Source organism: Homo sapiens, chromosome 10 (assembly GCF_000001405.40).
Source record: "Homo sapiens chromosome 10, GRCh38.p14 Primary Assembly".
NCBI lineage: Eukaryota > Metazoa > Chordata > Mammalia > Primates > Hominidae > Homo > Homo sapiens.
In genome coordinates this window covers 20,579,886-20,596,407 of record NC_000010.11, presented here as the reverse complement: position 1 = coordinate 20,596,407, position 16,522 = coordinate 20,579,886, and positions in this window count along the sequence as shown.

Below are 16,522 nucleotides of genomic sequence, written 5' to 3'. Positions count from 1 at the left end.
GATTGAACCTTTGGGGTATATATATGTTTTTTTCTTAATGTTGGATAACCTTGGATTTATCAGTCAAATGTATCTTTTCTTTAGACACTGCCTCATAATGACATAGAGAAATACAAAAGGGAAGAATAGCTTTAACAGGTTAACCACAAACATGAAAGTGCATAAAAATGTTGTTTATAGAAATATCAACTGCCTTAAATGATGTAGCTAAAAGATACCACATAAGATCCAGTTATTTCAGCTTGCTATACAGTTTATGCCTATTGATAAAGCTAATTAACAAAAGTGACAGGCAAAAGTAATGTATTTCCATATAAGATGAATAAAACAAGAGGAAGATAAGTGTCATCTAAATAACCCGTCTTAAACTTTTTCTCAAACTTAGAGTCTAAGGATCAATAAATTGATGTAGAAACCTAAGTAAATGACCTATAAATTCATATCAAGTAATATATTCTCATTATTTCAAGGCTTTTTGAGATGGATTTTCACACATTTTCTACATGAGCACACTTAAAAAGAAATATGAAAAATATTGTTTCATTGAATATGTTTCATTCTCTATTAGTGTCTTTTTTTTTAAGACAGGGTCTCACTTTGTCACCCAGGCTAGAGTAAAGTGACAGGAACGTGGCTCACTGCAGCCTCAACCTCCCAGGCACAAGAGATTCTCCTGCTTTAGTCCCCAGAGTAGCTGGGACTACAGGCATGCACCATCATGCCCAGCTAATTTTTTTTTTTTTTTTTTTTTAAATAGTGATGGGGTTTTGCCATGTTGCCCAGGCTGGTCTTGAACTCCTGAGCTCAAGGGATCTGCTTGCCTTGGCCTCTCAAAGTGCTGGGATTACAGATGTGAATCACTGCTCCTGGGTATTAGTGTCTTTTTTTTTTTTTTCTTCCCTTTTTTTTTTTTTTTTTTTTTTTTTGAGATGGAATCTCACTCTGTTGCCTAGGCTGGAGGGCAGTGGTGCAGTCTTGGCTTACTGCAATTTCCACTTCCTGGGTTCAAGTGATTCTCCTGCCTCAGCCTCCCAAGTAGCTGGGATTACAGGCATGTGCCACCATGCCTGGCTACTTTTTATGTTTTTAGTAAACATGGGGTTTTGCCATGTTGGCCAGGCTGGTCTCGAACCCTGACCTAAGGGGATCCGCCCATGTCGGCCTCCCAAAGTGCTGGGATTACAGGCATGAGCCACTGTGCCTGGCCTATCAGTGTCTTTTTTAGTAGTATTTAATAGCTATGGAAAAGATCACAATTTTTATATGATCTCTGTGATTATTTCAAATAAAAAATAAGTATTGGTGTATATGTGAAGGTGGTATTTCAAGATGTTTAAGAGCAAAGAAATACAGGTCTTCAAGAGCTGTACCCAACTCTACTGCCTGCAGCTTAACAGTATTCCAGAAAGCTTGTCTCCCTGCAACAGATCCAAAAGATATTTTTTAAAAAGGTCAGATGCACTGTACTGTATAAATATAACAGCTTTTATATGGCAAAAGTACCAAGCACACAAAACATATAGCTATATATTTATATAGATACTATAAATATAAAAACATTCATATAGCAAAACTAAAAATATTTGCAAGGCAATAGACAAAAATATTATTAGTACTCTACAGATAGTGCTTACAAACTGATAAGGAAAAGACAATAAAAATTGTCAAGGTTATGAATAAATCATAGAAGATCAAGTGGTCAAGAAACACATGACTAAAATGATATTGATTTATATCAGGTCAGTGGGATTTCAGGCCATTTTTACTTTTTAAAATTGCTTGATCTAGGGTGTGAGTTGTGTATAATGAATGTGTAGTCATTGAATCTTCAAAAAAGAGCTATTTTTATTGTGGATGAGAAAAAATATTTCAAGGACTCTAAACTATGCAAGAGTGCATGGGGAGACACAAAGAACTACAACAAAGAACGTCAGCTAACATCACAGCATGCAAATCAGTTCTCCTGGTGATCCTTGGACAATTGTCAGCAGTTGGTAAAGTCCAGCTCAATTCTCCTATTGCTCTTATAATTTTCTATTCCTTTACTAATTTATCCCTGATCACATATGCTGCTTCTACAACTTTCTAAATGTTCCCCTGCAAGAAGTTCAAAGATACCTTGGAAAACTTTAGTTATCATCTCCAATTGATCTATTCTTAAAATATGCTCCCAAAATTATTCTAGCACTTCTCAGTATATCTCCTTCACATCAGACCACAGGCAGGGAGAGGCACCTCTCTGATGCCACAAGGCTAGCTCTATCCCTATATGCACGCCACGGTGTCTCCACAAGCCACATGCATAAGGAGACAGATACACGGACACACAGACACCTGGACGGGAAGCCACACAGATACAGGAGAGTGGATGGACAGAAGTCATGGAGTGGATGAGAATGTGCACACGCATCAGGCAGTAGGCTGGCTGCTTAGGTCTTGGGGGTAGAGGTTGAGAGGAGACCTTAATTCTCCAAGACTCCAGGCAACTCTAGAGAGGCCTGGCTCTCCCTGTCCCAGGACCCAGGGGCAGTATTGAGGCTGGGAAGGAAATGCCACCTTCAAAGGGCCTCCCCACAGGAATCTTGGAATGCTGGCAGCATCCCCAGGCCCAAAGTTGGCAGCGAGCAGTGGGGACATGCAGGATGGGTTAGATATCCTTGCAAGGAATTTCTGAATATATGCATAAGAATTTTCTCAATCATTCTAGAAGTAAAATCGCTACAGTGGTGCTGAGTGTGGGGAGTGGGGAGGAGAGAGGAGTGATAGGGGACATCTGGGGGACTTTTTTCCTAAGTTAAAATTACATTTTCCCTTTTATTTCTTGTTACTTATTAAATTTAGCTTGATCAATTCAGTTTAATTCAATAAGTATGTATTAAGTGGTTATCATGTCATTAAGATTGTGTTGTATATAAATAGGGCTTTGTAAGTGCTATGGAACATTGCCCTAACACTCATGAAATTTGAGCTTATTGGGAGACAAGAACTGTACCCATAAGACATTAGACGTCAATGCATAATAGTCCATAACAATTTATGTACCAAGAGCTGCAGGTGATATCATTCTATGACTTAATTCTGCAAATCAGGCTCCCCAAAAAGGATTTACTTCCCTCTTGTTTCCTATATTTGGGATATGCTGTTAGCAGGGGACATAGTATTACATGATATAAAGGAAAGGAATTTTGAAACTAATCTGGGAATCTGTCCTGAAGCTCTTTGTCCTTTACCACTCTTCTCTGGTCCTTAGTCAGTGTGTGTGCCTTGCAGGGTGAGGGGGGAGAAGAAAAATATTTTTCTCCATTAAATATTGTATGTGCAATAAAGACTTGTTTTATGAAATCATACTTGACCTTCAAATATAGAGCAAATTTGGAAAGTCAACAGCCCTAGGATATCATTAGACAACTGCCATGTTTAACTACTGTCAACTTCATTTCTTTCCTGTTTCCTTGATTTTGTCTTTTCTTATTAATCTTGACATAAAAGATACCAGGATTGTTTTGGTTCATTATTTTTGAGATATTAATAGAAACTTTTCTGTCACTTTACCTTGAACTCAGGTTCTGTTCTTCTGTGATTCTTTCTGCAATTCTCTCTCTCTTTCAGATAGCATGAAGAAAAGCCTCAGAGACAATGGTTCTCACTAATAATATGCAATTAATAATATACATAATCACATAATACATAAGTAATAGTTAATACTGTATTGATTATTTTTTCTTTTTAGTTGACAAATAATTGTACATATTGGCTGTGCACGGTGGCCCACGCCTGTAATCCTAGCACTTTGGGAGGCTAAGATGGAAGTATTGCTTGACCCCAGGAGTTCAAGACCAGTCTGGGCAACAGGGCAAAACCCCATCTGTACAAAAAATTACAAAAATTATCCCTGTGTGGTGGTGCATGCCTGTGGTCCCAGCTACTCTGCAGGCTGAGGTAGGAGGATTACCTGAGGTAGGGGAGGTCAAGGCTGCAGTGAGCTGTGATCATGCCACTGCACTCCAGCCTGTGCAACAGAGTGAGACCCTGTCTCAAAAAAATTGTACATATTTATGGGAGAAAGAGTGATATTTGATATGTGTATACAATATTTAATGATCCAATCATGATAGTTAGCATATCCATCACCTCAAACATTTAACGTTCCTTTGCATTGTGAACACTCAAAATTCTCTCTTTTAGGTTTTTGAAAATACACAATAAATTGTATTTAACCATATTCATCCTACAGTGCTGCAGAACGCCAGAACTCACTCCTCCCATCTAGCTGTAATTTACTATCTATTAGCCAATCTCTCTTCATCCTCCCCTCCCCCTACCCTTCCCATCCTCTACTATCAATAATTCTACTCTCTACTTCTATGACATCTTTTTTATTTTTTAAACTCTCACATATGAGTGGCTGACTTATTTTACTTAACATAATGTCCTCCAGGCTTATCAATATTGCCCTGAATGACAGGATTTCCATTTTTCCTATGGCTGAATAGTATTCCATTGTATGTATATGTATACATATGTGTGTGTGTGTGTATATGTGTGTGTATGTGTGTGTGCCACATTTTCTTTATCCATTCATCTGTTGATGAACACTTGGTTGGTTCTGTATCTGTGTCTTGGCTATTATGAGTAGTGGTGCAATGAACAGGGGTGAGTACAGGTATTCCTTTGATACGTTGATTTATTTTCTTTGGGTAAATACTCAGTAGTGAGACTACTGGATTATATTGTAGTTCTATTTTTAGCTTTTTGAGAAACCTCCATACTGTTTTCCATAGTGGCTACACGAATTTACATTTCCACCCACAACATACAGAACAGGAGTTAGCTTTTCTCTGCATCTTCACCAGCATCTGTTATTTTTTGTTTTTTTGATAATAGCCATTCTAACTGGGGTGAGATGATATGTTATTGTGGTTTTGATTTGCATTTCCTTTATGGTTAGCGATGTTGACAATTTGTCGTATATTTGTTGGCTATTTGTATGTCTTCCTTTTTCTTTCTTTTTCTTTTTTTTTTTTTTTTGGTCAGAGTCTCGTTCTGTGTGTTACCCAGGCTGGAGTGCAGTGGTGCGATCTCGGCTCACTGCAACCTCCACCTGGTTGATTCAAGTGATTCTTCTGCCTCAGCCTCCTGAGTAACTGGCGTTACAGGTGCATGCCACCATGCCGGGCTAATTTTGTATTTTTCCATGTTGGCCAGGCTGGTCTCGAAATCGTGACCTCAAATGATCGACCTGCCTCGGCCTCCCAAAGTGCTGGGATTACAGGTGTGAGCCACTGCGCCTAGCCTGAATGTCTTTTCAAATTTTTTATTTTTTATTTTATTTAAAATTATTTTCTTTAAATTTGCTACGGGAGTAGATCTTAAGTGTCCTCACCCTCCTCCACACACGCACAAGAGGTATTTGTGTGGTGATTGAAGTTAATTTTATGTGACAGTCATTTCACAACATAAATGTATATCAAATCATGCTGTATGTCTTGAATATGTAAATTTTTTGTCAATTATACTTTAACAAAGCTGAAAAAAATTCCAGCCACATTTTCTCCCAATATCCTCCCACCCCTGCCCCTTGCAAAGAATGTGTCTGTACTAGATAATCCAAAATCTCTAAAATTGTGTTCTCAAGCACACAGGGCTTTCCTGCTTGCTTTACATCTGTGTCTGCTCTTTATGAAGGATGTTTTCTTTAACTTCTAAATGTTTTTAGACCAGGAGCTGTTGGCTTGATTTACATGCAATTCAAAGGTTAACCAACTTTCCAGCAAATGTCCCTTGGGAACCAACCTAGTGATGGAATTCTTCATGCCTGAGAAAGAGGTAGTAAGATTTAAAATACAGTGCAATGCATGTGAAATAAAAATTTAAAGAGAAGATTTGTATGGATCACATGAGATTAGAGATAGCCCACTGATGATTGGTAAGCTTTGAGTAGATGAGGAAGTGGGAGTGGAACATTTGGGAAATGTTTGGAAACTGAAAGATTTTTCTTAGTCATCACACATTGATTTCAGTGGATAATTGATCGCTTTTTTTCTTCAGTCTGTTAGTGCCTAGGTAGCTTCAGTGAATTGGCAGTTATAATTTGTACCACCAAAAATAGTTCAATGAGTTTCAAAGTCTTCACAAAATGAAGGTAGTATCATCATAGTCTTAGCCTCCTTTGTAAGTGAACCGAACACAGATGGTTATTATAGAACAAAAATTTGTTTTTTATGTGTGCAAGACTTTATTTAAATGCACCAGCACCACCAGACTCAAATGCCAAGAGGGGAAGAATATTCTAAATAAAAGACAGGATTCAGTTATACTGTGAGAGTGCCCAGTTACTGACTTTGCTACTGGGGACTTGAGAGAATGGCTAGAAAAGTTGTAGTCTTTACAATCTGACCTTGATTAGCAATTGGGAAATTTCAGAAAGAGAATTTTCTAAAAATACATTTGGCAGTTGTCAGTAACTTTTTCATAGGTGAGTAAGCACAATTTTTACATTAATATGCTCAGAATGGCTCAAGCTAAAATTGTAAAGTAGAATAAGCTGGTTGTTTCTAAGCCATTAAATGAATATGCAGCTAATAACATCATAAAGTCTTACTATGGCAAGTATATGGTGATTTAATATTCACTGGATTATATTTGATGTGAAAATCTTTTGGTATTCGTGTGGATGTGTATTTTAGATGGTAGGTTTAGCAAACGCAGCATCTCTTCCCTTCTGCTAGAAACCCACTATTGTATATGTTCATTGTCATTTTCTCAAAGCCTGTGTAGAATGGAAAATATATATTTAGATCTAATTCAAAACGGAGTAGTTTCTGGCATAGAAATTCCACCTACCTTAGAATCATTTGAACAATAAATTTTTTCTTAAACACTGATCTTAATCACTTATCCACAGTCTTTATAATTTGCTAATCTCAAGACTTACTCCTTTTGTGAAAATTTTTCCCACCTTGTTAGTCCACAGTATACTCACTTTGTTTCCTTTCATTGTTTTATGGCACTATGAGATAAAAATTTGAAAGTATACTTTGCCTGAAAAAAATAAGATTTGGATGATTACAAGTCAGTTTGTGCTTGTATCCATTAGGGGAATAACTGCTGAAAAATATAGATAGGGAAAATGTCCCTCAATTTTAAGAAGGGGAAGTTCTGAAAGTTGAAAAGAATGAGACACTAGTCAGTGGGTTAGTGGACTCTTGTTTCCTGATGGAATTGATACTGTATGAGAACAGCTAAGTTTATGTGTTCAGCTTAATGGGGACCCGTATGACCATCATAGAACTGGCGGGTCAAACCTCCAAGAAAGGCCAGGAGTCAGGAATGAAAAATGGCTACCCAATGTAAACTGCTACTTACATGCCTTTGGAACCTATCTCTATGGGAGTGTTCTAGAAAGATCAGGGATCTCTTAGTAAAATTCCTTCTGTAGGCTTGAGTCTCCTCAATTCTCTTCTAATAATTTCTTGCCCTTTCTCGCTGGAAACACAAAGAATGAGCAAATTATGACTCTTACCTATCATTTATACCAATGTCTGTGTGTAACTTCCGTAGAATACTGTCATATGTATTACCACAGGTGAACCATTTAATATTTAGAAATTCTCAGCAGATAGTCCCTTTATCAACAGTTTTTTATATTGCTCTTAGTGAATAAAGGGGTTCTGCCCTTTAAAATAATGAAATTATAATTAAACGTTACCCATAATTTGCTATCCCTGCAAATATGGAATAGCAAAGAATGATGCTATCCCATAGCATCAAAAATGATGAACCATATTCATCATCTGTTTTTCAGGGAAGTAATAAAAGGTGCATCTTTTTCAGGGATCTTTCAGTTATATCCCACCTTTTGGCTAACGGATGCAAACAATCTCAGTGTGTTTGCTCCTCAAGACAGACACACTATGCCAGCTCAAAATTCTACTCCTGAGACTTTTGGAATGAATATATCTTTGTCAGTGGCCTGTGAAACAGGGTATGTAATACATGTGTGTTGTCTAGCATTGTCTTGGTAAAGGCTAGAGGGAAGTGTAGGGGACCACTTTGACCTGACTTGTACACTGAAATATCCATCCTAAAAACATAGATAAGGGAGCTATGCCTGATAGGGGCAACCTACTTTAGAAACATTCGATCAATAATTTTGTTCTTAAACACTGACTTTAACCACTTATCCACATTCTTCATAATTGGCTAATCCCAAGACTTGCTTCTTTCAGGAAACTTTATCCCACATTCTTAGTCCACAGTGTGATCACTTTGTTCCCATTCATTGTTTGATGGCACTGTGAGGTAAAATTTGAAAGTGTATTCTGTCTTTTTAACTAAGATTTGGATTATTATAAATCAGTTTGTGTTTGCGTCTTTCAGGGGAATAACAGTTGAAAACCACAGATGGGGAAAATAGCCCTCCATTTTAAGGAGGGGAAGATCTGAAAGTTGAAAAGAGTGAGATAATAGTCATCCCTGATATGGGCAAGCAGCTAACAAGTTGCTTGGTAACAGTCAGGTAACAAGTCAGTTAATTAACTCCCTCCCCATCCCTGCTTTTTTATATCACAAGTTTAAAAGCGACACACTGATGAAAACAATATGTCTTTGCACTCTCCAGCACACTTCCCTGTTTGATTCCCAATCCAAGGAAGCTTGTCTACTTGGCCTTTGTTACCATTCAGACATGTGTGGAGATGCATGAAGCCCCAAGGGGCAAATCGTAAATTCTTCTAGGGTTTATCCTGAAGTCTCAACTTCTTTAACAAGTACTGCCATCACCAATTAATTTAATACTTTAAATATTGTTTTGCATTGCTCTTACTGTTTCAAATGTATTAAGGTGGTTTCTCCAGATTGTTTTCAAGATATATAATTATATAGCATTCTAGCAATATTTAAGAATTACAGCATATAATGGATGAGTGTTGTTCATTTAACGTAGTCACTTTGGGAAGCCACACCTTTATTTTGGTTATGTAACTTGTCAAAGTTTAAAACATCATAAAAAATACTCTAGAGGCAGGCTGAGCTGTACAGTGGTCACCATATTGTAAAGTTTGTTCTTTGGAAATTTGATTTTATTTCATACAAAAAGTTTATTGTGAAAATTTTTGATATTTGTTCAATCATAAAACTGAAAGGTGGTTCCTAGAGAAAATTTGGAACATCTGAAGAATTAGAAAGGGAACTACAAGATCAAGTATTGATGCACTGTGCACTAATAATCTCCCTGGATCTTCCTGACCCCAGTGTGACTCCATAGAGTGGGTTCAGACACTCTCCACTTTACCCTCCCACCTGCACTGGCCAGCCTCAGCGAGCCGCAGCCAGGCCACGCTCAGCCTGGCTTCTTGCATTTCTGTGCTAACTGCAGTTGCATGTGTGGTGAAGATACAGGAGGGAAAAACAGCTGTGCGTCAAATTTAAGCAAATAATTGGAAGGGACACGTTCAAGTGTGTTCATTCAACATTAACTGAGTACTTCTATTTTTGAGACACAGTGCTTGGCTTGGAGGTGCAAGGGAGAACAGGACCATCAAATCTCTCAACAGTTTAATGGGTATTCACATAAGCAGGTTACTGTGAAGTAGATGTGAATCAATAGGAAAATATGCAAAGTGCTACAAGAGTTAAAAGATGGATCATTTCATAGATGAAGTGGTATTTAGGATGGATCTTGAGATACCAAAGCAGTATATTTTTCTCAGGTCTTTCAGCCATTCACATCTCAGCTTTAACAGAGAGAGAAAGATAATGAGATCCTCCCAAAAGGCAGAGCCAGAATTATTCACATATCTATAAAGGGCCAAACATAACCTTGGTGCAATGTTGTGGCTTATAATGATAGCAATAAAAGTTGATGGCCATTTAATTTTTAAAAAAGTTAGTTATAAAGCAAAAGCTCTAGGTCTTTTCAAAGACTCCAGAGCGGTGATGCTTCTTCAGTGGCGAAATAGCCTATAATTTCTGTAACAGATTCTGCTAAATGGTTCCCTGAATCAGTTTTCCTAACACACAAACGAAAAATGAGCCTATAAGAATTGTGAATACCTCCAACACAGGCACAACTTTGTAGATAAAACAACAAGACTTCTGAATTCTGGAAGGAGTTATGAGGCTAGCAAGTCATTTGGGAACAAAATGCACTGTCCCTGTCACTTGCTGACTGGACCTGAAGGGAATGGACATTTCTATCACACATCTGACTCTCCAAGTATACTAAGAACTGGAGTCAATTATGAAGCTGACATATCCAGTTTGTCTGGAATTCTTTGAGAACATCAAGAATAATAAAGTCATTGTTACCCTCACTTTACCCACTGGAATTCTCTAGCATTCTTGATATTCTTCTAGGGGCTTGTAGTGAAACTCAGAAGGTTGTTGCAAGATTATCTAGTGTTACTGATCATCCCCAGATTGAAGCAATTGCTCCTTCTTCTGAATGTTTATTACTATTACTTCTAAGTGACTCATTTAGTTAATGTAATCTTAAGTACATTTAATATCTTTTTCAATTTTCTCCACTTGAACTCTCCATTGGGTTGTATTACTTAAGCTTTCTTATGTCTATGCTTCATATAGCTGACAAAATTATAGTTACGATGATGCCCAAGATCTCGGTCTTACACTTTCTAAAATGCCCTTTGCTTATGGCCTTTCAATTTCAAACAACTTGATGTTATTTTAATTGTTTCTATTGGGAGACTTTTGTCTCAGAGGCTTTTTAACACAATGATTGTAGAGATCTAAACCCCAAATTTTATTTGGGCTGCTAGTCTGTGTAGGGTTTAATGTGAGGGCATCCCAAGTAGGATGAGGGCAGTAAGCATCCTGGGTGCTGGCACTGAAAATGGAGTTGAAAAGCATCAATGCACACTTGTTCCTCCTCAACTAGGACAGCTCTGTCCATTGTGTAGAGGATAGATAGGCTAATCCAGTGGAGAGGAGTTCTCTCCAGGACAACTGGCTGAGGATGAGGTGGACAGAATGCACAACCTCTCTAAGTGCCTTTTCTGTCACTCTGCTGTAGCATGGTCCCGGAGCTGAGCTGTAGTTGAGAGAGGCTCAGAGGGGAGGCAGAAAGAGCAGGCAGCATGCAGCTGAAAATACTCTGAGATAGGGTTGAAGAGGGAAGGCTTTTTGGTTTTCAGGGCACCAGGAGCTTAAAAAGCATATGTTCAACTTCTGATTTCAGCTCTGACAAGTCAAGAGTTTGGATGTCCTCACTCCCATCCTCACAACAAGATATAAGTGGAATAATCTGAAAATCAAGGACTTTTCTTGGATCTATTAGGGACCTGAGATTGTAGAGCAAATCACCACCCCGATCTGCAACGACAGGAGAATGCAGAGAATCACAGTGAAATCAGCTTATCTGGAGTAGAAGCCACTGAAGCCATAAACCAGTAGGAACACTAAAATGATCATTTTGACAACTTGCTAAAGGCTGACTATGAACTAGCATGAGAATAGAAAACTTCCAGAGACCACATTCTTGGAGGAGAAGCACACTTTTATGACTTTTATCTCCAGGGACCCCAATAGGTTCTTATGATGAATAGCCAAGAAAATCTCTTTCATGTTTCTGGGGGAGAGATGGGGAGAAATGACCACTTCGAAGTATACCCAGAGCATTTGCTGCAACAAAGGCCCACTGCTTATGGGAAAAGACTTTCAGAGGCTTATTCACCCCTGGGAGGAAGGCAGTTACCCAACTTCAGCACCCTCTAGACTTCCCTCTAGACTTCCTGTCTTAACTAATTGTAGATTACAGTTAAGACACACTTGTGAAGCTCACATCCTAGGGACATAGGCCTCCAAAAAGACTGGGATTTAATCATGAGATTAGAGAAGGCTTGCTTTCTTCCACACTTTACCACCAAATCAACAGGGTTCCAAAATCATAACAGTGGATTGCAGCTGAAAGAGCTATAAGGCACAGACTTTATTTAAGAAGGAGTCTTTAGGGAAATTTAAAGACTACAGAAGAGGCAAAAATAAGGACCCTAGAGAAAACTGGAGTCTCTGACACCTTCAGTTACAGCAAACATTAACCCAGTCCAACTTCTAGCCAGATTAACATAAAACATCACACTAAAGATGTATTCACCTCAGTACCCATTACATCTGGCTTTTAACAACAAAATAATTACAAGATGTGCTAAAAAGAAAGACAAATTTTGAAGAGACAAAGCAAATGTCAGAATCAGATATGACACAAATTTGAAATCATCAGGGAATTTAAAATATAGTTCATATGCTAGGGCTGTACCAGTAAAAGCAGACAACATGCAAGAACTAATGAATCTGACATAAGCAGAAAGATGAAAACTGAAAAGAATAAAAAGGAAATGTTAGAAATTTAAAAAACTGTAGCAGAAATGCAGAATACCTTTGATGGGATCCTCAGGAGATTGGATACATCTGAGGAAATAGTTAATGAGCTTGAAGATAATGTCAATAAAATTTCACAAACTGAAATGGGGAGAAAAAAGAGTGGAACAAACAGAACAGAAAATCCAGGAACGTTGGGACAATTTCAAGTGGTGTAACACTTATATAATTGGAGTACCAGAAGGAAAAGAAAGAGAAGAAGTTTTGAAGTAATCATGGCTGAAAAGTTTCCAAAATTAATGGTATACACTAAACAACAGGTCCAGGAAGCCCAGCAAACACCAAGTAGGATAAATATCAAAAAATCTGTTCCTAGGCATTTAATTTTCAAGCTACAGAAAACCAAAGACAAAAAGAAAATATTGAAAGAAATGGAGAAAAAAAAAAACACACTTTACCTGTAGGAGATAAAGGATAATAATCACATGCAACTTCTTGTCAGAAGCCATGCAAGGAAGAAGAGAGTGAAATAAAATATTTAAAAGGGTCAAAAGAAAAAGACCACGGATCAAGAATTCTGTATCCAGTGGGATTATCCTCTACAAGTAAAGGAGAATTAAAGATGTTTTTGGATAAACAAAAGCTAAGGAAATTCATCAGTAGACCTGGACTGTCAAAAGTTTTCAGGAAGAAGGAAAGAATGTTGGTCGTAAATTTGGATGTGCATAAAGAAAGAAAAAAATAATAGAAAGAATGAATAAGACCTACTATTTGATAGCACAATATGGTGACTATAGTCAATAATAACTTAATTGTACATTCTAAAATAACTTAAAGGGTATAACAGGATCATTTTTACCTCAAAGGGTAAATGTTTGGGGGATGGATACCCCACTCCCATGATGTGATTATTATGCATTCCATGCCTGTACAACCTCATGTACCCCATAAATATATGCACCTATGTACCCACAAAAATGAAAAGAAATTAAAAATCATTTTAAAAAAGAGCATCAGAGAAGGAATAAATGAAGGTAAAATAATTTTTGTCTTAGTTGATCTAGTATTCAGAGTGGTAATAGTAACAACATATTGGGTAATTATAGGATATGGATAAATAAAAGAAGTAGCAGCAATGTTATAAGAAACAGGAAAGAGGAAGTAGGAATTCTTTGTTATAAGTTGCTTGCATTACCTGTGGGGTGGTATAGTGTTATTCAAAAGGGGACTTAAATTAATTGTAAATATATACTGCAAGCTCTAGGGAAACCACTGAAAAAGTAAAAAATATATATATATATAAATGATATTTTAAGAGAAGAGAGAAAATGGAATCATGTAAAGTGCTCAGTTAAAAGCAGAGAAAGTAGGAGGAGGGGGGGATATGGTGACACAGGATATTTCCTTGACCCCTTTGCGAGACTCACGACAGGGGTGCCTCATTTACTCAGCCCACCACTCTCAACTCCTTGATGGATGGAACGCAGGAGCAAATGAGTGCAGGAACTGGAGTGAACAAGCACTGGAACTAGCCAGTCGCTTTGGCACTGGCATGATCAAACTCCACTCACTCGGACCTGTTACTTTCCACCTGTTGTGGGAGGGAGCACACAGGTGAGTGGGTGCGGGCATCAGAGTGGCCACTTTTGGGCTCTAGCAGGAGCAAACCCTATGCAGGCCCCACAGCAGCATTCAGATGGGGCTGCCTGCAACCCCCAAAGCCCCAGAGAATATGTTACAGTGCTCTTTTAGCTCTGCCATCCATGGATTGCTTAAGTGTTAACAGCTCAGTGGGCCCTTTGCCTTTTTGCATGAGGTGGCTGCCCTCCACCAGCAAGGGCAGAGGGCCAGTGTGACAGCCTTTTGTATCCACACTAGTGGCTCCCAAGCTCTTGTCTAGCATCCAGGAAAAATGAGGTCACATGAATGAATTGAAGGATGGCAAATGTGGGAAATTTTATTGCCAACGAAAGAGGGTCACAGTGGGAAGGGGAGCTGAAAAGGGGACTGGGCAGGTAGGAAATCTTTCCCTGAAGTCTGGCCATCACCAGCCAGATTCTTCTCTGGAGTTAGGCCGTCAAGCTGTCCTTCTGAAGTCAAACCACTTCTCTTCGACATCCAGCTGTAGTCCCATCTACCGGGTGAGCCTGGGGTTTTTATAGGCACAGGATGGGGCAGAGCAGGGCCATGTGTGGTTTAGGAAAAGGCAACATTGAGCAGGAAAACAGGTATAGAAGTTATCACTTTGGGCTGTGGTTTCAAGCTTTTCAGCTTGAGGGTGGGGTTTTGCCAGGGACCCTCCCTTTTCTGCATAGAATTTCTCTGTCCCCTGTCCCTATCAAAAGGAAGCATAAGTTGGGGTTTTCTTTGTTCCTGACTTGTGTGCCAATTTCTTGAACAATATTCTGAACTCTTTCTGCCCACAATGACCTGGTTGAAGTGCTTTAATTCTTTAAAAACAATTAATGTGTTTGTTGTAATGTGTAAATTGTGTTTGTTGAAAGTAGGCATTTGCATTAGTCCATTCTTGCACTGCTATAAAAGAGCTACTTGAGACTAGGTAATTTATAAAAAGAAAAAGAGGTTTAATTGACTCACGGTTCTGCAGGCTGTAAAGGAAGCATGGCTGGGGAGACCTCAGGAAACTTATACAATCATGGCGGAAGTGGAAGGGGAAGCAGGCACGTCTTACATGGCCAGAGCATGAGAAAGAGAGAGTGAAGGGGGATGTGCTACACACTTTTAAACAGCCATAACTCATGAGAACTCACTCACTGTTCTCACTTGCTGTTCAAGAGAACTCACTCACTCACTTGCTGTTCAAGAGAACAGCAAGGGGGAAGTCTGCAGTCAAGATCCAGTCACCTCCCACCAGGCCCCTCCTCCAACACTGAGGATTGCAATTCAACATGAGATTGGGGTGGGAACACAAGTCCAAACCATATTAGCATTTAAATACATACCTTAAGATAGACTTTCAGTACAATTGACTTGTGAGCAAGACAGGTTTGAACTGCATGGGTCCACTTACATGTGACTTTTCTTCTGCGTCTGCCACCCCTGAAACAGCAAGACCAAGACCAACACCTCCTCTTCCTCCTCCTCCTCCTCCTCAGTCTACTCAACATGAAGACAGTAGGGTGAAGACCTTTGATAATCCACTTCCACTTAATTAATAGTAAACATACTTTTTTAAAATGATTTTCTTAACATTTTCTTTTTTCTAGCTTGCTTTATTGTAAGAATGTAGTATATCATATATATATCATACAAGATATATGTTAATCAACTGTTTATGTTATGGTAAAGTTTCTGGTCAACAGTAGCTAAATAATAGTTAAGTTTTGGGAAGTCAAAACATATACACAAGTTTTCGATTGTGTTGGGGATCTGCACCCCTAAACCCTGTGTTGTTGAAGGGTTAACTGTACTTTAAAAAGTTATACCAGCCACTAATTTTTGGAGAGTCACTTGCTCTTGGAAAATCATGTTAAAGCTTTGAGTTCACTCCCTAGTAAAATGCATAAATATCCAGCCTTATAAAATGTGTTATGTGATTTCAAGAAGCCCACACATCTCCTGCATCCACCCCTGAATCCTCCAGAGAACCATGAGCCCCATGTTATGAAAGCTTGCACTGTATTTTGTGCTTTTAAATAAAAATGTACATATGTATTCTCTCATGAGACTGGAAATGGGGAAGAACATATAGAGGGTCTGTCTCTTGAGAGGTTTCTGCTCGGTAAGATTCAAGCCTTCTACCTTTGGTGGCACAAGTCAGTTGTAATCCACTCACAGAGACGCAGGCAGGCTTCTGCCAGATAGTCATCAGTCCAATGGAAAGTTATTTTTTGTTCAACTAGAAACAGTTCTGTTGCCAAAGCATTCAATTTCAAGACAGGAAGAAATCATCCATTTCACTGGTCTCCAAACTTTTAAAAATCACACCCCATCAGTAAAACATTTTGATCAAATTTTGCCAATAAGTATATATTTATCTACAATTTATACCCAGTCTGGGTGTGGTGGCTCATACCTGTAATTTCAGCACTTTGGGAGGCCAAGGCAGGAGGATGGCTTTGAGGTCAGGAGTTCAAGACCAGCCTGGCCAACATGGCAAAATCCTGTCTCTACAAGAAATACAAAAACTAGCCGGGTGTGGTGGCATGTGCCTGTAGTCCCAGCT